Genomic DNA, 25,136 nt, shown 5'->3' with positions numbered 1-25,136 from the left:
TTCCACTAAAAGAACAGTGTTCTTGAAAAAAAAAAAGACGCTTATTAGAGATCTAAGGTAGAAAATTTACTAGATGAGCCTGAAAATTATTATCAAAAACTAGTAGAACTATGTCAAAAGGACAGAGGAGCCAGCTTGAATAAGCTCCCAACTGTCCAGAGATGGGGCCATTTCAATATCAATAAGAACAATAGCTGTCATGGATAGAAACACAAAATATATTTAAGTCCATAGTTCAAAATGATACTTAAATACATAAATCACCTTTGGAGAATACTAAAGTTTTGACTTACGACTTTGAAAACTGATGAAGGATAAAGCTCTTATTCTACCTTTTCTATAAAAATTTAAGATAACCTAATTATTTTGAAAGAAAGTATATTTTCATAGATGTATTTTGGCTAATAAATGAAAAGGGAAAAATAAAATGAAAACAGCACATTTAGCAATGTCTAATGAATTGCTAATCTCACAAAATGACGGTAGATATTATGCACCTCCAATGAAAGTACCCAATATCACTGATTAAGTAGTCTTCACACACACACCACCACCACCAACACAAAACCTGAATTTGATCACATCTCAAGACATGGAAATACAGGGACTGAGAAACATGTGTAAAACAAAACAAAAAATACCATCAGCAAAAGCTCTGTAAGACAAGTGATCCAACTTCCTTCTGCTCCTCCTCCTTCTCTTCCTCCTTCTCCTCTCCTCCTCTCATCCTCCTTCTTCTGCAACAACAACAGAATTGCAAGAGGAAAAAAAAAGAGACAGAGGAGGAACCTATATACTAAAAGAGAGGACATATCAACAATGTGTAGTGATTAAATCATAATTCAAATAAGCTTAAATAAGGAGAAAACATTTATAGCATGAATGAATTGTGAAATGTGAGCACTACCTGGATATTTGAGGAGATTAAGGAAATAAAGCTAATTTAAGAGATATATTGGTGATATTTGTGCCCTGTTCTAAAAACATACAGATAGTAAGTATACTATGGTAAACATATATATTAACTGCCATTGCATCAGTCTCCTGAGATTGCAGCTAAGTGACAGTAGGATAGGGATAGGAGAGTGGAGGGTGATGGAGGTGGGAAATGAAGGTTTGTTGTTTTCTTTAGCCAGAGAATAAATTATAAAGTGCATTTCAAATTTGGGTTTAATTCACTTGAAGCATCTATATGAACAGCTTAGAAAGTCAATTGGTGACCTGTTAAGGCATAAAGATCATTGAATAAGTTTCTTTCTGTCTCATTTTTCTCTACTAAACAAAATGTGTTAAAAGTTCATAGTGGCCTGGCATGGTGGCCCACACCTGTAATCCCGGCACTTTGGGAGGCTAAGGCAGGCAGATTGCTTGAGCTCAGGAATCCAAGATCAGCCTGATCAACATGGGGAAAACCCCATCTCTTAAAAAAAAAAAATACAAAAATTAACCAAGCATGGTGGTGCACACCTGTAGTCCCAGCTGCTTGGGGGATGAAGCGGGAGGATCCCTTGAGCCCTGGAGGTCAGGACTGCAGTGAGCCAAGATGAAGCTACTGCATTCCAGCCTGGGTGACAGAATGAGAACCTGTCTTAAAAAAAAGAGAAACGTTTATAATGAATTCAAGCATCTCCACATATATTAGAATTGACAGAAGTCTCAATACCTTATGAAAAAGATATATATATATATATATATATATATATCCATATGCCTCCATTTAAGAATTTTATGTTTGTTAAAATTTAGTAGAACCTTTAGATTTTTCCCTTTTTTCTCCTACATTAACCATGCAGTATTGAAGAAAACCATGAGAATAAAAAAATAACAAATAAAGAAAAAAAGAATTTTTAAGGCTAAATATTTTGATCTTTATACATTTTCATTTTTCTTCCTGTGTGGTATATATTTCCTTTACCATGTTAAAATATCATGGAATTAGGCACTTCATCAGTATATTCCTCTAGCATTTCTTGAACAATTCTGCTTTCACTTAATGATTGTTAAAAATTTTCTCAGGTTGTAACGTCTCTAAAAATGTGGGATATTAGAACCAGAAACACACGTATGTAAAGTGCCTGAAACACAGTTGGTGCCCAGTGAGTAGAATTACAATGATGTCAACACATTATTAATATGGGTGTACCTTTGATTTTCCCCCTTTTCCTACCCATCAGAGAAAGTCTGCATTGACGAGCCCAATTCCCCCCCTCCTCTCACCTCTTAAAGGATAAATATAATTTTGTGCTAAATTTAAGCCTAAACCAATCTACTAAATAATGTGAAGAGAAAAAGAAGAGAAGGCCAGGGGCCTGTGGGGGTAGGGTGGTGGGGTTGAAGATAAGAGAAGTAGAAAAGGAAAGGGGATTTTAATAAGATGTCGAGTATGTATTTGAATCCCCTTGAGCATCCTTTGAGAGGTATCTTATAAAAGATGGAATTCTTTTTAATTATGTTTCAGGAGTCAAACTACCCTTCTTGACTATAGCAGTGTTATGGGACTGAACCCTGAGAATGTCTGGATTTACAAGGCTTACATTATTGATATGAAAGTCGTGTAGAAGAATATTAACATTGCTCAAAGAGAGGTTTGGCCTTGGCCTAGAGTCCTGGGAGATAACTTCTAAGGCCTTGGAATGTCCTACTTGCTAAGTGCGTGTTTGTTTACCTGGCAGATTTGGACCATGGCAGATATTTTATGCTAACAATATGATTTACAGTGGGGCCTTTGGATCATACAGTATCAGTACCTCTGGAGAGGCTGGAGACTAAGGTCAGCCATGCAAGTGGTCAACCATGTCCACAAGACAAAATTCTAGTAAAAACTCTGGACACCAAGGTTTGGATGAGTTTCCCTGGTTGCCCCTATGCAGTGCATATTGTCACACATCATTGCTGGGAGAAATAGGTGCTGTCCACACAACCCCACTGAAGAGAACAACTGAAGCTCAACATTAACGTCTCCTGAACACTGCCCTGTGCTCCTCTTCCCTTGGCTTATGTTAACCTGTATCCTTTGCCTATAATAAACTGTGAATATAACAGCTTCTCTGAGTTTTCTTGGGGGACCTCCCAAACTGATAGCTGTGTCAGAACTGAAGGTGGTCTTAGAGACCCCAGAACTCGGAAGTTGACGTTAGAAATGAGGATGGTCTTGGGGACCCACAAACTTTGCAGAAGTGCATTGAGAATATAGTTCTACACACAAATGTAAGATAAAAGTATTTATGGAAAAGCCTAAAAGTGAAAAGGGGAGCCACATTTAGAGGAGAACAAGTCTAGAATTGTAGACCAACAAGCTATACTTCCAGAGAAAATATTAGAATACATAGTCAAAATAGCAAAATATGGAAAATGATATAACTTCTAAAGGAGTAAATGATGATTTAATGTATTATTTACAGTAGTGATATAGTAAATTAAAAGTATGTGTAGAATGGGTATAATGCATATTAACTTTAGTAAAATTGTTATTTAGTCCCAGGGTTTGATGTTTTATTTATTTTTATTTATTTATTTATTTTGAAGTTAACTTCTTGCCTTTTAATAATATCTTTGAATATAGATGGTTTCGATTCTCCAATAACAAGATGTAGAGTGGCCAAATGGTTTTTCATACATGTTTCCCTAGTCCAGACACCCAAGAGTATGTCCCTCTCTTGGGCATAAGAAAACCTAGAGTTATATTTAGGGCATCATGTGTGGTGAATAGTTGACCGAGCTGGCATGCTCACAATGACCAAATTATGTTTGTCATATTTTAATCCAATACATTGATCTACTATGAACTTGTAAATAATGTGTTTGCTTTCTAGACACATTCCAGGAAGACCAGAGAAACTGACTTTTATCCATATGGAATAATCCACTGGCAAATTTCTTTTAGGACAGACCAAAGCTGATCTAGAACATAATCTTTACATACTTGGATCCTTCCCATCAGACGAGAAAGAACATCTGGGGTGAAAGGCTCCATTAGAAGAGCAATGTGGGATGGTGCTGTGCTGACAACTGGTAGTTCCTGCCCTACATCTTTGTAGAGGACTGGAGCCCAGAGCATGCCATGGTCAACTTGTATGTTGAAGTGAAGACCTCCTTCAAGGTGTGCATGTGCTTATTACAGATATGCCACGGTGCTAAGTACCCCCAGGACTACAGGAAAAAATAAGAATAGATGCTGTATCCATGATCATGAGGCACACAGGCCAGAGCGCCAGCTGTGGAATTGCACAGCCCGGGTTCAAAGCCTGGCTGGGCCATGACCACCTGAATGACCTGAGGAATGGTCTCAGGCAAATTTGTAAAAAGTGGAGACCTTGCCTGCCAGGGAGGCATGTGGTAAGAGGCGCACCCAGTCAGGTCAGGGCACCGCGTCCTCTCTTTGGAAACCTGCGGAGCGAGGCTGGTGGCCCTTGAGGCCACGGCAGCCATGGAGAAGGCGGGCCTGGCTCCAGGTGGCACAGAGGCACTGGAGAGGCCCCGGGGGAGCCTGGCGGGATCTGGCTGGTCCTGCGCTCTGCTTCCAGGTTCTGGCCCTGTAACCCGGGGGACAGGGCTGGCCAAGACAGGGCCACTGGGTGCCAGCCAGCACCTGGGCCAGGCGCCAGGCAGAAGGGCTCTGGCAGATCAGCCCCGCACCCCCAACAGCCCCACAGGGGGGCCCATCCAGGGCCACACACCTGCCCCCAGGAGCAGGACGTCCCTGAGGCTAGAGTCCAGCTGGACCGGTGGAAGGGTCTCACCCTTTGCCCTTTGACTCCTCTTGTAGGCACCCTCACTGGGCTCCTAAGCACTCCTCCACACCCTGGCTCTGTCACCAGCCCCATGGTGATGTCATAAACTCCCAGATGCCCAGTGTGCACCCGGCCACAGAGAAGTGGGTGACTTAGGAGTATCCTCTCCACTTCTGACCCTTAGTTTCGTCTGTGCACAACTCGCTCAAAATGGGCAACTCACTAAGTGTATTTTGTTCCTGGTCCCACTGCAGGTTCTGGCCATGCCATCAGCAACCTGCTCGTCTTGTCCGTGAGGCCTTCCCAGCTGGCCGGGCTGCCCCCACGGCTCCTGCACGTGTGCCTGCGCCGGGAATCTGGGGCCGTTTCCCACTCCTCTTCAACCGTCAGCGACATCTTGGGCCTTCTTTTCCAGTCAGGTGGGACAGCGACCCTATGAGGCTGTGTCTTATCCCTCGGAACACGGGCACCCCACAGAGGGTCCTGCCTCCTGTGGTCTGGAGCACCCCCTCAAGGAAGAAACCCGTGCTGTCTGCTCGCAACTCCATGATGTTTGGACACCTCAGCCCCATGAGGATCCCTCATCTCAGAGGCAAGTTTAACCTTCAACTTCCTTCATTAGATGAGCAGGTGATCCCAGCCAGGCTCCCGAAGACGGAGGTGAGGGCAGAAGAGCCCAAAGAAGCAACGGAGGTGAAAGACCAGGTAGAGACCCAGGAGCAGGAGGACAATAAAAGGGGCCCCTGTAGCAATGGGGAAGCAGCCTCCACCTCTAGGCCCCTGGAGACTCAGGGAAACCTCACTTCCTCCTGGTACAATCCCAGGCCCTTGGAGGGAAATGTCCACCTCAAGAGCTTGACAGAAAAGAACCAGACTGACAAGGCCCAGGTGCATGCAGTGAGTTTCTACTCCAAGGGCCATGGAGTCGCCAGTTCACACAGCCCTGCTGGAGGCATCCTTCCCTTTGGGAGGCCTGACTCACTTCCAACAGTGCTCCCTGCCCCAGTTCCGGGCTGCTCCCTGTGGCCAGAGAAGGCGGCCTTGAAGGTGCTGGGTAAAGACTACCTGCCCAGCTCTCCAGGCTTGCTGATGGTGGGGGAGGACATGCAGCCCAAGGATCCTGCAGCTCTTGGATCAAGTAGGTCTTCTCCACCCAAAGCTGCCGGCCACAGGTCCCACAAAAGAAAACTGTCGGGGCCACCACTGCAGCTGCAACCGACCCCTCCCCTGCAACTGAGGTGGGATAGAGACGAGGGGCCCCCACCAGCTAAGCTTCCATGTCTATCTCCTGAGGCACTGTTGGTGGGTCAGGCTTCCCAAAGAGAAGGACACCTCCAGCAGGGCAACATGCATAAGAACATGAGGGTGTTAAGTAGAACATCAAAATTCAGGAGACTAAGACAGCTGCTTAGGAGGAGAAAGAAGAGACGGCAGGGCAGGTGTGGTGGCTCACGCCTGTAATCCAGCACTTTGGGAGGTCCAGGTGGGCGGATCAGGAGGTCAAGAGACTGAGACCTGAGGAGCATCTCTGCCTGCACCATCTGGGAAGTGAGGAGCGCCTCTGCCCAGCTGCCCCACCGTCTGGGAAGTGAGGAGCGCCTCTGCCTGGCCACCACACCGTCTGGGCAGTGAGGAGTGCCTCTGCCGGGCCCCCACCCTATCTGGGAAGTGACGAGCACCTCTGCCCAGCCGCCTCACAGTCTGGGAAGTGAGGGGCGCCTCTGCCTGGGCCCTGCCCCGTCTGGGCAGTGAGGAGTGCCTCTGCCAGGCTGCCGCCCTGTCTGGGAAGTGAGGAGTGCCTCTGCCCGGCTGCCGTCCTGTCTGCGAAGCGAGGAGTGCCTCTGCCTGGCCCCCTTACACCGTGGGAAGTGAGGAGCACTTCTGCCTGGCCACTGCCCTGTCTGGGAAGTGAGGAGCACCTCTGCCCAGCCGCCAACCATCTGGGAATTGAGGAGGAGCACTGCCTCTGCCCGGCCTCCACCCAATCTGGGAAGTGACGAACACCTCTGCCTGGCCACCTCATGGTATGGGAAGTGAAGAGCACCTCTGCCCAGCCGCTGCCCCATCTGGGAAGTAAGGAGCGTCTCTGCCTTGCCGCCGTCCTGTCTGCGAAGTGAGGAGTGCCTCTGCCCAGCCGCAGCCATGTCTACGAAGTGAGAAGTGCCTCTGCCCGGCCCCCTCACTGTCTGGGAAATGAGGAGCGCCTCTGCCTCGCCGCCGTCCTGTCTGCGAAGTGAGGAGGGCCTCTGCCCAGCCGCAGCCATGTCTACGAAGTGAGAAGTGCCTCTGCCCGGCCCCCTCACCGTCTGGGAAATGAGGAGCGCCTCTGCCTCGCCGCCGTCCTGTCTGCGAAGTGAGGAGGGCCTCTGCCCAGCCGCAGCCATGTCTACGAAGTGAGAAGTGCCTCTGCCCGGCCCCCTCACCGTCTGGGAAATGAGAAGCGCCTCTGCCTCGCCTCCATCCTGTCTGCGAAGTGAGGAGTGCCTCTGCCCGGCCCCCTCACCGTCTGGGAAATGAGAAGCGCCTCTGCCTTGCCACCATCCTGTCTGCGAAGTGAGGAGGGCCTCTGCCCAGCCGCCGCCCTATGTACGAAGTGAGGAGTGCCTCTGCCCGGCCCCCTCACGGTTTGTAAGGGAGGAGCGCCTCTGCCCATCCCCCGCACCGCCTGGGAAGTGAGGAGCGCCCCTGCCCAGCCGCCGCCCTGTCTGGAAAGTGAGGAGCACCTCTGCCCGGCCCCCTCACCGTTTGTAAGGGAGGAGCGCCTCTGCCCAGCCCCCCCACCACCTGGGAAGTGAGGAGCGCCTCTGCCTGGCCCCCTCACCATCTGGGAAGTGAGGAGCGTCTCTGCCCGGCTGCTGTGCAACCTTCCAAGTGTGAAATGACAGCCTTGTGTGTGATCTTTCTGCCCTCCCCAAGTTTGCATTTTTGACATTAAAGTTTACTTTTTAATTAAAAAAAAGGAGATCGAGATCATTCTGGCCAACATGGTGAAACTCCATCTCTACTGAAAATACAAAAATTAGGCAGGCATGGTGGCTTGTGCCTGTAGTCCCAGCTACTCGGGAGGCTGAGGCAGGAGAATGGCTTGAACCCGGGAGATGGAGGTTGCAGTGAGCCAAGATCGCACCACTGCACTCCAGCCTGGTGACAGAGCAAGACTCCGTCCTAAAACAATGTTATAGTTGAGAGCAGGATGGTCTTTTGGGACAGGAGGAACAAGAGGTTCTGGTTGCCACTCTTCAATGAGTTCTTCTTTTTCCTTGACTGTAAGATCAGATCGTTCTTGTAATTTGTAAGTCTTAGAGAAAAGAAGTCTGATTATCCAGAGTATCAGAATCCCTTCCAAAATAAGATGGTAATCAGGAGCCTCGTAAAGCGCCTGTACCATCTCCACCAGAACCCACTGCTCCATGGCGGTCACCAGAGTTAGCCACTTCCTTCCAGAAGGCGGGTCACAAGCATGTCCTCGGGTTTGATGTGTTAAAGCATCTCATATTAAACAGGCTCCAAGAGGACTACAAATTTAACTAATTCAAAAGTGACACATGCAGAGTACAAGAAGTAACTCACGAAAGAAGAAATCTATACAAATGCATGCTAGGACAGAACTTACTTTGCAAATGTATGGCATAAAATCGATCCAGACAAGTAAAAACCACAAGTTAAGTAGGAGTTAGCAGCGTGTCACTGTAATTCTAAAAATTAATAAAATACTGCATTATCCAAATAAGAGAATGGCATATAAGGCTAAGTGTGTCACTGTATTCCATTCTAGTGGGATAATTTTTAGATTATCATATTCATTTTAAAACCCCATATATAGTGAAAGAAATTTCAGCATGCTGGGTTCCAATCTTAGCTTTGCCACTAACAAACTGGCTATCTCATGGAAGCAATCAGAGTTTGGCCTTGCCCTAGAGCCCTGGGAGATAACTTCTAAGTCCTTGGAATGTCCTGTCTGCTAAATGTGGCTGTTTACCTGGGAGAGTCACGTCCCCAACTCTCTTCATCTTCAGATCCTGTAAATTGAGGACATCAGGCCAGAATCATACTAAAATCACCACACAGATCTTAAATCCTTTGTTCAACAGGAAAAGATATTATTAAAAATCGTTGGGGAGATCGAATCACAGTACCTTTGTATGCAAAGAGATGTTTCGCAGGAGGCTATGGGCTACCACTGGCTGATGAGCTATCACAGGGGCCAGGTCAGAGGCCCTGGCTCACAGGAATCTATAGCTGAGACTTTTACCAGCTCCCGTAGTCTTTCTTTAGTTATAAGGCCCTCATTTTAGCAGGCATGTAGCTAGAAGCTACATTTCACAACCTCCCTTGGAGTTAGGTGTGAAATGGGATATAAATGGCCAATTGGATATGAGTGAAAGGAATAGAGTAGCTTCTTCATCACATCCATTCTTTTTCTCTTCTCATTGGGGCAATTATAGAGCTGGTGAGCCAGGGTTATTTTGTTTTGTTTTGTTTCCTTTTTTGAGACAGGGTCTCACTCTGTTGCCCAGGCTACAGTGCAGTGGTGCGATCTTGTCTCACCACAACCTCTGACTCTTGAGTTCAAGTGATCCTCCCACCTCAGCCTGCCAAGTAGCTGGGACTACAGGCATGTACCACCATGCCCCACTAATTTTTGTATTTTTTGTAGAGATGAGGTTTTGCTGTGTTGTCCAGGCTGGTCTTCAACTCCTGGCTTCAAGCAGCCTTCCCGCCTTAGCCTCCCAAAGTGCTGGGATTACAGGCGTGTGCCACCGCACTCGGCCTTCGGCTTTGATCATGAGATACTAGCGGACGGCAGTGCAACATATGCTTGGGACACTTTCCTGGGCAGAGCCTACTTTTGTTTTCAAGTGAGAAATATATATTTTTTAAAAATTCTATCTTGTTTGAGCCACTGTATTTTAGAGGTTTTTGCTACGTCACTTAGCTCTGCCCTAATTTATATAGAGATTGGTACTAGGAATCAGGTGCTATCAAACAGGAGCCTAAAACACATGCTATTAGTTAATTGTTTTTGTAATAGGAATGAAGAAATAAATGTTGAAACTAAAAGTTTCTTGACTCTTCTTATGCCATGGCAAAATATTTGACAAAGGTCTCACTTGCCTTAGTTACCTACGAGGCCCATGCTAGAAAAAGAGATTGGGAAAACCTAGAATATTCGTATATTTTAACTGTTTCTTACTGAACGCTATGGCTCAAATGTTTGTATCCTTCCAAAGTTCATATGTTGAAAACCTATTCTCCAGTGTGATGATATTCAGAGGTGGGGCCTTTGGGAGGTAATTAGATCATGAAGGTGGAGCCCTCATGAATGAGATGGTGCCCTCATAAAAGAGGCCGCAGAGGGCTTCTTTGTTTTTCTACCATTTGAAGGCACAGCAAGAAGGTTCCATCTCTGAACCAGAAAGTAGGACGGCAGCAGAAACCAAATCTGCCGGCACCTTGATCTTAGACTTCGCAGCTTTCAAAACTGTGAGAAATAATGTTTTGCTGTTGATAAGCTACCCAGTTTATTGTATTTTGCTATCACAGCTCAAATGGACAAAGACACTGCATTTACCATGAGAGAGATGAAGTAAAGCAGAATTTAGTCAGTTTGCAAGCACAGATGCCTACATGTTGCAGTTCAGCCCTGAGACCTGTAATCAAAATTGACATTTACAGAGCATTTCAGTCAAATGTCATAGAATACACATTCTTTTCATCAGCACATGGAACATTCTCCAGAATAGACTATATCTATATCTAAAACCATATTATTTCAATAGATTCTAAAAAACATTTCATAAAATTCAATATCCCTTTATGATCAACATCCTAAAAAACTGGTTATAGAAGGGAAGATATCTCAATATATCTCTTATCAGCCCACAGCAAACATTATATTGAATGGGAAAAAAATTAAAAGCCTTTTCTCTAAGATCTAGAACAAGAAAAAGATGCCCACTTTTACCACTTTTATTCAGCATAGTACTAGAAGTCCTGGACAGAGCAATTAGGCAAAAAAAAAAAAAAGAAAAAAAGAAAAGAAAAGAAAGAAAGGGCATCCAAATTGAAAAGGAAGAAGTCAAATTAGCCTTGTTCACAGATTACAAGATTTATATTTTAAAAATCCTAATGACTTAGCCAAAAAGTGGGTAGAACCGATAAATGAATTCAGTAAAGTTGCAGGATGCAAAATCAACATACAAAAAATCAGTGACATTTATATACACCAAGAGCAAACAATATGAAAAAGAAATCAGGAAAATAATTCCAATTACAATAATGACAAAGAATGTAAAATACCTAGGAATTAACCAAAGAAGTGAAAGATCTCTACAAGGAAAACTATAAAACTTTGGTAAAAGGAATTGAAGAGGACACAAAATTTGGAAAGCTATTCCATGATCAGGGATTAGAAGAATTAATACTGCTAAATTTGTATATCAATATTACTCAAAACAATTTACAGATTCAATGCAATCCCAATCAAATTACCAAGGACATTATTCACAGAAATAGAAAAAAAATCCTAAAATTTATATGGAACCACAAAATACCCCAAGTAACCCAGGAATAGCCAAAGCAATCCTGAGGAAAAGGAACAAAGCTGTAGGCATCACACTTCCTGACTTCAAAATATATTACAAAGCTATAATAACCAAATCAACATGGTACTGGCATATAAACAGGCATCTAGACCAATGGAACAGAACAGAGAACCCAGCTATAAATCCATACATTTACAGCTAATTCATTTTCAACAAAGGCACCAAGAACAATGGGAAAGAACAGTCTCTTCAATAAATCGTGCTGGGAAAACTGAATATCCATATGAGGAAGAATGAAACCAGAAACCTATCTCTCACCATATACAAAATCAAATAAAAATAGATTAAAGACTTAAATCTAAGACATGAAATTATGAGATTACTAGAAGAAAACATTCGGGAAATTATCTGTAACATCGGTTGGGGCAAACATTTTTTGTATAAGACCTCAAAAGCACAGGTGACATAAGCATACTTAGATAAATGGGAGTACACCAAGCTAAAAAGCTTCTGTACAGCAAAGGAAAGAGAACAAAGTGAAGAGACAACCCACAGAATGGGATAAAGTATTTGCAAACTATCCAGCTGACAAGAGATTAATAACTAGACTATATAAGGAGCTCAAACAGGAAAAATCTAATAATCTGACTTAATAATGGACTAAAGATCTGACCATTTTTCAGAAAAAGACATACAAATGTCCAATAGGTATATGAAAAAATGTACATCACTAATCTTCAGAGAAATGCAAATTAAAACTACAACGTGGTATCATCTCATCCCAGTTAAAGTGGCTTTTATAAAAAAGACAGGGACCAGTTGATTCTGCTGCGGATGTGGAGAAAGGGGAAGGAACCCTCCTACACTGTTGATGGGAATGTAAATTAGTACAGCCGCTCTAGGAAACAGTATGGAGGTCCCTTAAAAATTTAAAAATAGAACTACTATATAATTCAGCAATTCCATTATTGGGTAGATAGCCAAAAGAAAGGAAATCAACATATTGAAGAGATATCTGCACTATCATGTTTACTGCAGCACTATTCAAAGTAGCCAAAATATAGAATAAACCTAAAAGCCTGTCAATGAATGAATGAAGAAAATTATATATATATATGTATATATACATATATATGATATTAGATATAAAAAAGAATCAGATCTTGTCACTTGCAACAACATGAATGGACCTGGAGGTCATTATGTTAAGTGAGATAAGCCAAGCATAGAAAGACAAATATCACATGCTCTCACTCATAATTGGGAGCTAAAAAAAGTGGTTCTCATGAAGATAGAGAGTATTTTGGTGGTTACCAGAGGCCAGGAAGGGTTGGCAGAAGGGGAGGATGAAGAGAGGTTGTTTAATGGGTACAAATATATAGTTAGATAGAAGAAATAAGACCTGGTGTTCAATAGATCAGTAGGGTGACTATAATTAACAATCATAAGTCTTTGTACATTTCAAAAAGCTAGAAGAGAATAATCCAAATGTTTCTCACATATACAAAAGATAAATATTCAAGATGGTCAATACCCCAGTTACCCTGATTTGATCTTTATAGGTTATATGAATGTATCAAATTATCACATGTACCCTGAATATATGTACATCTATTATCTATCAGATAGATAGATAGATAGATAGATAGATAGATAGATAGATAGATAGATAGATAGACTGGGAGTCCAGTGATTGAGGATTTAACCAAGCTAGATGATATGGTTTTGATCTGTGCCCCCACTAAATCTCATGTTGAAATGTAATTCCCAGTGTTGGAGGTGGGGCCTGGTGGGAGGTGATTGGATCATGGGGGCAGTTTCTCATGAATGGTTTAGCACCATCCCCCTTGGTGTTGTCTTCAACATAGTGAGTTCTCATGAGATCTGGTTGTTTAAAAGTGTGTAGTACCTCCCCACTTTCTCTTTCTTGCTCCTGCTCCCACCATGTGAGCTGCCTCACTCCCCCTTTGCCTTCCTCCATAATTGTAAGTCTCCTAAGGCCTTCCCAGAAGCTGAGCAGATGTCAGCATTATGCTTCCTGTACAGCCTATGGAACTGTGAGACAAACCTCTTTTCTTTATAAATTACCCAGTCTCAGGTATTTCTTTATGCCAATGCAAGAATGGATTAATAAACTAGGAAATCCAACTACAACTTTATGACAAAGAGCAAAAGATATCACTGTCCCTCAGAAACTCATGCAGGGCCTTCCATTAAGTGCTTTTCCTCAAACAGTGGGAATCAACTCACCTGCAAAGATCATTCAATTGAGGGAGAGAGGGATGAGCCAAGCATGGAAGCCAGCAAATAAAAGAGAAAAGTCTGCAGATGGAAGAACTATGACCACCTAAGGCCTTTGCTAAGGTTTCCCTCATATGGAACTGACTAGAAGGAAATAGACTAGAAGTCTATTACATTTTTGAGCAGATTGTACTGCTTAAAAATAAAACATAAACCAGACTTACAGAAGCTGTGATAGTTTGCCATTCCCTCCTCTCACCCTGAAGTAACTTTTCTGTCCCCAAACCCACACCTGTAGAAAGCAGGTCATAAAAGCTGTGCAGCCACAAGGAGGCCAAACTCTTCAACGTCCACCTCAGGTGTGACCATGGAGGCAAGCGGACAAAGGCGTCCCTCTCAGACAGCAGAATCAGGTCAAACCCAGGAACTTAATACCAGAGGAAACTTTTCATAATTACTGCCTGGCAAAATTGTTAGCTAACACAGACCACAGACTGCTAATCTCCATCCTTCCCTTTTCTGAATGAGAGTTCTCATTGTGATTATCTTGTTCCTACTCCACAGACATGTATTGGGCACCTGGGAGGATAGATAACTCATATTTCAGTCTATAGGTCTCTGGACTGGAAGAAGTCATATCAGCACCTAACAGAGGGCACTAAGGGTCAACCAGAATTCCTAGCCTGTTAGCTGGATGGGTAATTGAATGGGACTTAGAGATGTCTTCCTTGAGGAGAGTTATGTGTGTAGGAAGAAAGGTGGACTTGGGTACTTGCACAAGCAACTCTAGAAACAGTTTTTTTTTTTTTTTTTAACAGATATTGCTCTTTATTCCCAATATTCATTCTGCTTTCTTCCTTTAGTAATAGAAACTCCTTAAATGTAATGGAAACTCATAGCTAGAGACTACATTTCATTCTCTTGTGCAACTACACCTAGTCAAGTGTCCCAAGGTATGTCAAATGAGATGTGAGTGGAAATCATGTGCAACTTTTGTGTCACATCCTTAGAAAGGAAGATGGCTGCTTTCCACTCCCCCTTGCCTGAATGCTGGAAAGGGGAAGCAGAGCTGGAGAGCCTGCTTTGACCTGGTATTGAAAGCAGCTTGCTAGGGGATGGTGGAGCAATAAGACAGAAGGAACCTGCATCCCTGGATGAACTAGAAACAGAGCTGCTTGCCTTCCCTGGACCACAACCTAATTCTGGACTGTTATGTGGGGAGAAAAATAAATTTCTATGTGTTTGGAGCCACTGTCTTTCTGAATCTCATTGTTACAGAAGCTTAGCCTGTACTCTACCTAATACAATATCTAAATGTTTACATGCCTAGCAATAGTGAAATGGCATAGAGGTTTTCGTACTAATTTTTCAATTTGATTTATTTTAAAAACTATATTTTAGAGTAGTTCTTGACATACAAAAAAACTGTGAAGATAGTATACAGGTCTTGTGTACCCCACACTCAGGTTCCCGTATTATTAACATCCAACATCAGTATCGTACATCTGTCATAATTGATAAACCCATTATAAACTAAAATCTGTATTTTATTCAGATTCGCTTAGTTTTTACCTAATGTCTTTTTTTTCCATTCCAGGATCCCATCCAGGATACCATATTACATTTAGTTGTCATATCTCCTTAGCCTCTTCTTGGTTATGACAGTTTCTCAGACTTTCTTGTTTTTGATAACCTTAACAATTTTGAGGAGTACTGGGCCCTCAGTTAAGGTATTTCTGATGTTTATCTCATGATTTGACTAGAGTTATGGGTTTCAAGGATATTTATCTCATGATTAGACTGGAGTTATGCATTTCAAGGAAGAAGAATGCAGAGGTATAGGGCCACTTCTAACACATCATATTGAGGGTATGTGCCAGTGATATGATTTATTACTGTTGATGTTAATCCTGATCACTTGGCTGAGGAAGTGTTTGTCAGGTTTCTCCACCATAAAGTTACTCTTTTCCCCCTTCTTTCCATACTGTGCTCTTTGGAAGGAAGTCACTATGCACAGCTCATACTTTAGGAGTGGAGAGTTATGTTCCATCTCCTTAACAATGGGATAGCTACATAAATTATTTGGAATTCTTCACATGGGAGATTTCTGTCTTCTTCTCCATTTATTTATTTATTCCATTATTTACTTACACCATCATAGCCTCATGGATATTTATTTTATACTTTGGGTTATAATTCAATACTACATAATTTATTTTGTTGCTCAAATTGTTCCCAGGTTTGGCCATTGGGAGCTCTTTCAGTTGACTTCTCTATGTCCCTTTAACATGTTCACATCATTTTGTGTGCATATGTGTGTGTTTGAGCTCTTCCTTATTTTCTGGCACTATAAGATGCTCCAGGTTTATCTTATGTACATCCTGCTCTAGTCCAAGAACCAGCCATATCGCCAGAGTGCTGGTTCCTTCTATGGGGGATGGTATGAGAAATCAAGACCTGAATGCAAGATATGCTCACTGCCACTGGAGTTTCATGGCTTCTAGGCATTCTCATCTGAGAGAGCAAGGAAATACATATATGTATGGTAACTGATATAGATATTTATATACACATACCTACAAATGTCTATATATAACCATCTGCATCTGTATTAAACCAACATGAGTTCATACTGATAATTCCAACTCTTTTTCATTGCCGCATGGATCATTCTAGCCTCCTTTGCTTGCTTATCCATAACCATCAATTGCAACAGTGAAAAGCCTGGCTCCCACAATCTGCTATCCATTTACTTAACTGTTCAATTCCAGGATACATGTATAGTGGTTTCAGAGTTGTTAACCCTTATGCCCATGGGAAAGAACTTTATCAACTAGAGTACAACGTCAGTATACAGTTGCTTTGCCTTCAGTCTTACAATCTTTACTCATTTTCAAAGTCACTTAGGTCAAGACCTTTTCCCCCTTACCTTTTAGTGATACTGTATCATTAGACTCTTTTGTCACATTCTGCATTTCATGTTGAAATCCCCTGCCCCTGACCTCCTAAATGATATTTTCAATTTGTCTATTATTAGAGTTCATTCTTTGTACTGTAAAGTTCTGTGGGTTTTGATGAAGACACAGTGTCATGTATTCATTATTAGAGTATCACACAGAATACTCTATTAGTTCTATTGCCCTAAGAAACTCCCTGTGCTTCACTTATTCAACTCTCCATCTGCACCACCACCCCCAACACACACACTTTCCCTGAATCCCTAGCAACCATTGATCTGTCTACTGTCTCTATGGTTTTGCCTTTTCTAGAATGTTATATAAATGAAATCACACAGTATGGAGTCTTTTTCAGACTTATATAAATGAAATCATAGAGTATGGAGTCTTCATTCACTTAGCAATAGGCAGTTGAGATATATTCATATTTCTATAGACTAAGTAGTTTATTCCTTTTCATTGCTGAATATTATTCCATTGTATAGATATACCACAGTATGTTGAGCTACTTCTTTATTGAAGGACAACTTGATTTCTTCCAGTTGTTTATTATTATAAATAAAATTGCTATAAATATCTATGTACAGCTTTTTGTATGCATATAAGTTATCAAATCATTTGGGTAAATACCTGGGAGGATAATTTCTGGATCATATTTTAAGACTATGTTTAGCTTTTTAAGAAACTGCCAAACTGTTTTCTGAGGTGGATATCTTAGTCCATTTGTGTTGCCATAAAGAAATATCTGGCTGGGTGCGGTGGCTCACGCCTGTAATCCCAGCACTTTGGGAGGCCGAGGCAGGTGGATCACGAGGTCAGGAGATCAAGACCATCCTGGTTAACACGGTGAAACCGCGTCTCTACTAAAAATACAAAAAATTAGCCGGGCCTGGTGGCACACGCCTGTAGTCCCAGCTACTTGGGAGGCTGAGGCAGGAGAATCACTTGAACCCAGGAGGCAGAGGTTGCAGTGAGCCAAGATCATGCCACTGCACTCCAGCCTGGGCGACAGAGAGAGACTCTGCCTCAAGAAAAAAAAAAAAAAGAAAAAAAGAAAGAAATATCTGAGGCTGGATAGTTAATAAAGAAAAAAGGTTTATTTGGCTTGCAATTCTGCTGGCTGGAAGACCAGACATCCGGTGAAAGCCTCAGGCTGCTTTCACTCATGGTAATAGATGAAGAGTAGCCAGTGTGTGAAAGATCTAATGCAAGAGAGGAAGGAATAAAAAGAGGCAGGAGGCAACAGGCTCTTTTTAACAAGCAGCTCTTGTGGGAACTAATAGAGTGAGACACACTTATTACTGTAAGGATGACACCAAGCCACTCATAAAGGACTTTCCCCAGTTACCCAAACACCTCCCATTAGACCCCATCTCCAACAATGGGGATCAAATTTTAACACAAGATTTGGATGGAACAACCATCCAAACTATGGCAGTGGCTATACCATTTTGCATTCCTGTAACAATGAATATGAGAATCCCTATCGCTCTGAATACTTGCTGACAATTGATATTATCAGTTTTTAGATTTTAGCTATTCTAATAAGCATATAGTAGTATCTCCTTGTTGTTTCAATTTGCATTTTCCTAGTGACAAATGTTGCTGGGCATCTTTCATATGCTTATTTGACATCTGTATATCTTCTCTGGTGAGGTGTCTGTTCAGGTCTTCTGCCCATTTTTTTTAAACTAAGTTTTTTGTTTTCTTATGTTGAGTTTTAAGAATTATTTTTATATACTAGGGACAAGTTTCTAATCAGGTATCTGTTTGCAAATATTTTCTTCCAGTTGGTGGCTTATATTTTATTCTCTTAACAATGTCTTTCACAGAGCAGAAGTTTTTAGTTTTAACAAATTTCAACTTATATACAACCATTTTTTATAGAGCATGCTTTTGGTGATGTATCTAAAAACTCATGTTGCTTTTCTCCTGTGTTATTCTAGAAGTTTTATAATTTTGCATTTTACATTTAAGTCTGTGATCCATTTTGAGTCAATCTTTGTGAAAGGTGTAAGGTCTGTGTGTAGGTTTTGTTTGTTTACGTTGTTTTTGCATTTGAGTATCCAATTTTTCCAGCACCAATGCCATTTTTAAAGACTCTTTCTTTCTCCATTGAATTGCCTTTGTGCCTTTGTCAAAAATCAGTTGACTATATTTGTCTTAATATAATTTTAACCTGTTTGTGAAATCAATCATACTCAATATTTTAATGATACAAATCTAAAAGGCATAAATGAATTCTACCAAATTTCAACATTCACTTAATGATGTATATCTTTAAGGATGCATTATGAATTTATGATGACCAGCCTCTTGCCTGTTTCTTCAGCCTCATCTCTTCATGCTCATTCCAGCCTCCTAATTCCAGCCTCCTGGCAGTCTTTCTATGTCTTTAGTATTTCCTAAGTCACGCTGAAGTTCACTGGACTTAGGGCCTAAACACTTTCTTGTGGGAGACTTTCAATTCGGTTTGCCTTTATGAGCTGAAGGACCCCTAAAGCTCACAATCTTTCCTTTTGTCTTAGGAAAATAGGTAAAATTACTTCATTTCAGCTATTAAGAAAGTTATACCAAGAAAAAAGTTTCTTTCTTCCAGATGCATTATTCATATTTTAACAAAGGAAAATAACACGTTTATAAAATTCCTATGAGAAGTCTCTCCTAAATGTGAAATGATGCTGCCTTACTGTTTAATGTTTCTATTTGGAAAACAGAAAGGGATATGATCCTTAGGGCCTCAGATGAGGAGTGGAAATGTCATACAGGATCCATTACTTCCCCTCAAGATGCAGGTTGGTTCAGACCTTACTCATCCCACCTTTGAAATAGTCACCAGAGCCTTCCTGGGCCCACGTAAGCAACTTCAGCCTGAAGTCCAGGACTCAGCAGCCATTTGGGTAACCCACCATGGCAGAGAATTGAAAGCAGTCTGAGTAATATCTGATTTTTGTCTTACATGGCTCCCCGTGTAACCATATAATAGAGGAAACTTACAAGTCTTACAAATAGAGGAAACTTACAAATCTTTTGACTGGTCTCTGTCTCCTGGCACCTTTGAACTTCCATCTCATTACATTTAAAAGAAGCAAGGTTCAGTTTAGCCCAGACAAATGGCCTGATTTGGGCCAATTCTAAGACATCTTCTCCTGGATGGCTTTTTCCCAGGCTGACTCCTTCCCATCATCCAGATCTGATTTGAAATATTACCTCCTCACCTGACCACTTTATTTCTAAAACTACCCCTTCACCTAGTCACTGTATTTCACTCATTCATAAGTCTTATCAATTTCAGAATTATTGTATTAATTTGTTTTCTGACTTTCAAACTCCTCCTCCACCTCCTGCTGGCTTTAGAATGTAAGTTTCATGAGGTCAGGAACCTTGACTGTTTGGGTTATACCTGGGACCTAGAACGTAGGTCTTTTTTTAAGTTATTGAATAACAGAACAAATGAATAAATGAATGAACGATGATAGATTATAAACCATGCATTTTTTCTAAGGAACCTAGAATAATTGGGCATTTAAATGTATTAATGAGAAGAATGTATCAAAGAGAATAAAAGATCCTTTCCAGAAGGCATTTATAAGGCAATGATGATGTTCACTTTCCTCTCATACAGTGAAAACATTGAAATCACTGCCTACCTCATACATTTGAGTATTTCAGTAATATCTCTCAGAAGGCGTTTTTCTTTTTTAGATGGAGTTTTGCTCTTTTTGCCCAGGCTGGAGTGCAATGGCACGATATCAGCTCACCACAACCTCTGCCTCCCGGGTTCAAGCAATTCTCCTGCCTCGGCCTCCCAAGTAGCTGGGATTACAGGCATATGCCACCATGCCTGGCTAATTTTGTATTTTTTTCGTAGAGATAGGGTTTCTCCATGTTGGTAAGGCTGGTCTCGAACTCCTGACCTCAGGTGATCCGCCCACCTTGGCGTCCCAAAGTGCTAGGATTACAGGTGCGAGCCACCGTGCCCGGCCAGAAGGCATACTTTCTAAGCAGGACAAAGATCCAGTAAATAAGGGTCAAAATGGTGCCTCAACTTGTGTTGTGATAAAGTCAACATGCAATTCTAAAGTACATACAAAATATTCAACAACTCTTATGCATCTAATAAAAGATATCATCTAAGAACCGGATAAGTAGCAGGAATAGATTCATAGTCATGTGATATTTGAGTTGGTGGAAACATTCAAGAGTCGATATTCTAAACCCCATAGTTTAAACAGTAGGGAATGGGGCCAAAAGGGAATATGGCTTGCCCATGTTATACACATATTTATAGGTGGCTCTGGGAACTGTTGAGCACTAGGGAATAGGGGGAACTTTAACAGCAATTTATTTACGTTGTATCAAAATAACCAGCAAATTCAGTAGTACCAAAAAAAAAAAAAAACCAACATCCTTTTTAGTTTGCCATGATGTAGACCCAACAGTTACTTGTTTTGGTAGAGTTCTTTATCAAGCTGAATGTTCCAAACACTCACAATTTTCTATCATAGTAAACAAGTCAGGGAATGCACAGTAGTGATAGCTGGACCATCTCATCACTCATATCTAATAAGTAGAGTGACTGCAATCAAACCATTAAGATATACATATTACTTCTTGAATAAATTCTTATTTCTTGGCCTTATTAAAGGAGAGAATATCATTTTATACTATACTATTTCTGAGATTATTATATGTCTTTGACTTTTATTTAGAAGGATATTGTCATGATGAAGCTATTCATTCTCTTTTAGAGACATCTTTTTATTGGTGATAGAATTCAGGATCTAGTATCCCTAGATTTAGGCAATTGTGTCCAGGAACAGTGTCAGTCATAACATAATTAATAGCCTGCAAAAAATGTGAGATCTTGTAAGTTGTTTTGGGAATCTGTCACTTCTATAGTGAAAATAAACCCAGACATAATGAAGTGATCTTGATGAATCAGAAACACTTCTCTCTCCATTTCATGTCTATTCCATTTTTACAACAGCTTTTGGTTTGATTTAATACATTATTGTAGGAGAGAGGGCCAATTAAACAGCTATAGAAAAATGAGAAATGTGTTCCTTTTAGGTTTTTATACTTTTTAAATGATATTCAGATGATTTTAATTACTACAAAAGCATTCAGATGTTAATATACTTTATATGAAAGAGAGGGATACTATTTCATCCATCCTTTTCTGCAGTGAATTTCAACTCTGAGAAAATTATTTCTTTTGATCACTCTGATAGCGTATAATAAAAGAACAATAAAACATGTGGCTCAATTACCACTGCTTCTCATCAAGCATGAATTAATGAATATAAAATTATTATTAATTGTTTTTCCTGGCTCCCTTTTCATTGGACAACAATTATACATTGCTGTATTTTGATAAGCATTTTATGTTTAACACTTTGTGAACCAGGCTTTAAGAGGAACAGAGGCATGAAATTATTACACAGAAGAATAATTCTTTGAATGTATTAACATTTGGAAAATACATGATAATCTTTTAATCTCCCTAGTTTATAGCAGTTTTCCACAACTGCCTTAAAACTTCTCTAGAATTCTGCCCCCACTTCCATGTTCCATACATCTTTTTTCTAGAAACAGTTGCTATATGCAATTAAATGGTTTAGAAGTTCAATTTCCCAATGTTAATTATACTAGTTCCTCACATGATTATTACATGTTCAATTTCTTCAGAAAAGTTTCTTAAAAATAAAATCTATAGCTTGAGCAGTTAAAAATAAATTAGTGCTGCAGAGAATATAATAGATTGTGATCACTATAATTGACAAAATTGATGTTAGTGAATTATATTTACAAACACTTCACATAAAGATTCTATGTAACTGATAGTTCATTTTATTTTTATAAGCCTTTTGTAAACATACTGCTATGTAATATGAGTATATATAACATACTAAAGAACATATCTTTTTAGTCCATAACCATTACTTCTAATGGATTATAAGTATACCCAGATTTTGAAATGTATACAAAGAAAATTTAACAAATAATAACATGTAAGCTATACATGTCATATTTTACCTGTTACCCATCAATCTGTTTCTGTTTTTAAAACACAGTTTTCAAACACTAAGTCTGTGATTAAACAATGACACTAAAATTAAATTGTTTATATGTCCTACCTAGTTCAATAGGCTTAACAAACATGTATGCATATATGTTTCCAAAGAGCTAATGATTCTAAAAACTGCTTTAGAATCAGAGAATTTGGGAAGCAAAAGGAACCCTAGAAATCATTTTATCCAATGCCCCTTGTGTTACAAATAATAGGACAGAGATCTGGAAAGTTTAGTGATTTTTGAGGTATATAAACTTTTTATGTTAACATCTTTCTGCCAAACTGTATAAGAAAATTGTTGTTAGTATTTCTTTTGCAGATGAAGAAAGCATATCTTGCTTCCTTGACAGTTCTTCGGGATGTCAATGTCTACGAATCCAAATTCTTAGAGAAAAAAAGGTGAAGAAATGAGAAACTTGGTTTAAATGGAAACCACCACTCACAGCCAACATACGGAGCAGGGATGGACCTGGCTGGAGTGTAATGCATCACTCCTTTGACACTGGAATCTGGAACCATTTGAACTTTTTATTGCTAACTCTAGCCAGAGACCAGATGGCTCTTTTTATGTGTGTGACCTTATTGAAGACAATTAGATTACTTATGCAATAACAGAATTGTTAATTTTGTACAAGAGTTGATCTTCAATGTGAAAGCTTTTCTAGATTACATATTATTAAGATAAAACTTGTAACTTTAATTCCTTAATGAGTGCTTTTCATCTTGATTTCCTTGTGCCAGAGTTATGGAATCCACTTTGCTGCAAATTAAAAGAAAAAAGACGTGCAAATTCAGTACAGAAACAAGCTCATCATTAAAATTTACAGACTATTATTCACCCAACGGGTAGTGGTAGATTAAGGATTCCACTTTTCCTTCCACTTCTGAAATAATCGCTGTGGCTTTTGGTCATACTGTGTACATGACGTACCAGATGCCTGGTATGCATATTTATGAGATGTCTGAGAGTCATCTCTTGACAACTTATATGTATTATAAAACATGCAATGCCTAGGGAGTACATATAGGGAGGAAGACATAAAAACTTCTGAGTCTTTTGGTAATCACACCCACTAAGCCACATCATGAACTCTGGGAGAATAAAAATTTTAGAGCTACCACCATGCACATCAAGACCCATTATATAACATTAGATCATCATAAGATTACTAACTCAGGAAGAAAAGTGAATATGAGAACTCTCTGGGGGAAGCAGAATATAGAAGGCAAAGTATGAATATAATTAGGTATGTTCTTGTAATTGATTCTGCAGCCTGATGGAACGTGGGTTTCTGATATTTTTTTCAGAGCATTTTCTGGATGTAGTCTCCCAGTAGCTCATTAATATCACACATTTGTCATTAAATTCCATACTTTGGATCCCAGGTAGGGGTCCCAAGTGTTCCTCTTTCATTCATTATACCAACAAGACAGCAGGAAAAAGTGCCTTTCACATAGTACCGTTGACCGTCTTCTCAATATTATTTTGGTTATTTTATCTACTTACTATTGAATCTAAAAGGAAAATGCGGATAGTAGCTTTTAAAAACCAGTCAAGTTTCACAGGACTTAATCTTGTTAATTTACCATACAATGTGCACATCTCTTAAATTAGCTTTTAAAACTTTCATATGTAGTTTATAAAAAATGTTAGTTAAAAACACAGGTCCTCAATATCCTTTTCTCACATTACATATGCTAATTAAGAGTGCAAATTATGGTAACATTGATGTTAGATGGATAGAAAACTTAAATGCTATATTTTTGTAAAACTACATAGAATTAACTAAATTTTCAATTTAAAAGTAATATTCAAAAGCATTTAATGCAATAACCAAATTTAGTTAAAAATTATACAATATTCAAGTGCAAGCATAAAATGTCATTTACGAATATGGACTTCAATTTAAACAATTATGTGAGTAGACAATAACTTTCTTGTTTGGAAAAAAACGGAAAATTTTCTAAAATAAATGACCCTTTGGTTTAGTTGTATCTATATCTAATCTGATACCAGAAGACAATACAAAAGTTGATTGATTTTACACCATTAAACAAAATACTACCATAGTATAAATATCTGCAGCTGAATTATTAACTAAATATAACTAGTAAAATGTTTTACTTTATTAAAATACATCATTTTAAATGATACCAAATGCTCATTAAGGTTAACCAAAGTGTTAAATGCTTAGAGTGTAACACTTACCCATAATTTTAGAGTAGCAAGGTTCACAGTGTATTGTCTGTCTATAAATCCAAATACTATCACCCGCTTGTAGATTTTCCAAAGGCTGCTTGCATATTTCACACTAAAGAAAAAAATACATATATAAAGTTTCCATTGTAAATGAAATCTAGATTATTAGAGGAACAGACATCATCTCTCTACCATCGAGGCACTTTTAAGGGATGTTTATCACTGAAGTTTTCTACTTCACTCACAGTGGAGTAGATATGAATGTCCAGAAATTGTTTATGCCAAGGACAAGATGACCACTCAATATCTCAAACAAACAAACAAAAAAACACAAAGGTGCATTTATTGTTTGCTAACTTAAGGGAGAGCTAGTTATGCTGTCCAGGC

General features: G+C 40.2%; 1 protein-coding gene and 2 pseudogenes across 26 annotated transcripts in view, besides 1 other annotated feature; 1 reads left to right on the top strand and 2 right to left on the bottom strand.

Annotated features, from left to right (window-relative positions):
• Window positions 4,221-4,399: a silencer, noted in NCBI's record as "fragment chr13:78237303-78237481 (GRCh37/hg19 assembly coordinates)". NCBI's record gives its function as "represses an EF-1alpha promoter that drives an FKBP-Casp9 reporter gene in an ReSE screen in HepG2 liver carcinoma cells and K562 erythroleukemia cells {active_cell/tissue: HepG2 | K562}" and the evidence as "EXISTENCE:reporter gene assay evidence [ECO:0000049][PMID:32094911]".
• LOC100129307 (putative UPF0607 protein ENSP00000383144) lies at window positions 4,941-6,191 on the top strand (annotated as a pseudogene). The gene has a single exon (NR_172722.1). The product of NR_172722.1 is annotated as a putative UPF0607 protein ENSP00000383144 (transcript).
• SPTLC1P5 (serine palmitoyltransferase long chain base subunit 1 pseudogene 5) lies at window positions 7,895-8,196 on the bottom strand (annotated as a pseudogene).
• SCEL (sciellin) overlaps window positions 22,304-25,136 on the bottom strand; it is a 109,558-nt gene continuing 106,725 nt past the window's right edge. For all 25 annotated transcript variants that reach the window (NM_144777.3, XM_011535290.2, XM_011535283.2 and 22 more), the window contains 2 exons: window positions 24,759-24,861; window positions 22,304-23,309 (listed from right to left, as the gene is read on the bottom strand). In NM_144777.3, the coding sequence (NP_659001.2) occupies window positions 23,293-23,309; window positions 24,759-24,861 (120 nt within the window). In that variant the 3' untranslated portion in view covers window positions 22,304-23,292. The remainder of the gene's footprint in view (window positions 23,310-24,758; window positions 24,862-25,136) is intronic.

The sequence above is a fragment of the Homo sapiens genome, chromosome 13 (genome assembly GCF_000001405.40).
Source record: "Homo sapiens chromosome 13, GRCh38.p14 Primary Assembly".
NCBI classification, from domain to species: domain Eukaryota; kingdom Metazoa; phylum Chordata; class Mammalia; order Primates; family Hominidae; genus Homo; species Homo sapiens.
The sequence above is the reverse complement of the archived record's forward strand: the minus strand, read 5'-3'. Positions and strand labels throughout refer to the sequence as shown.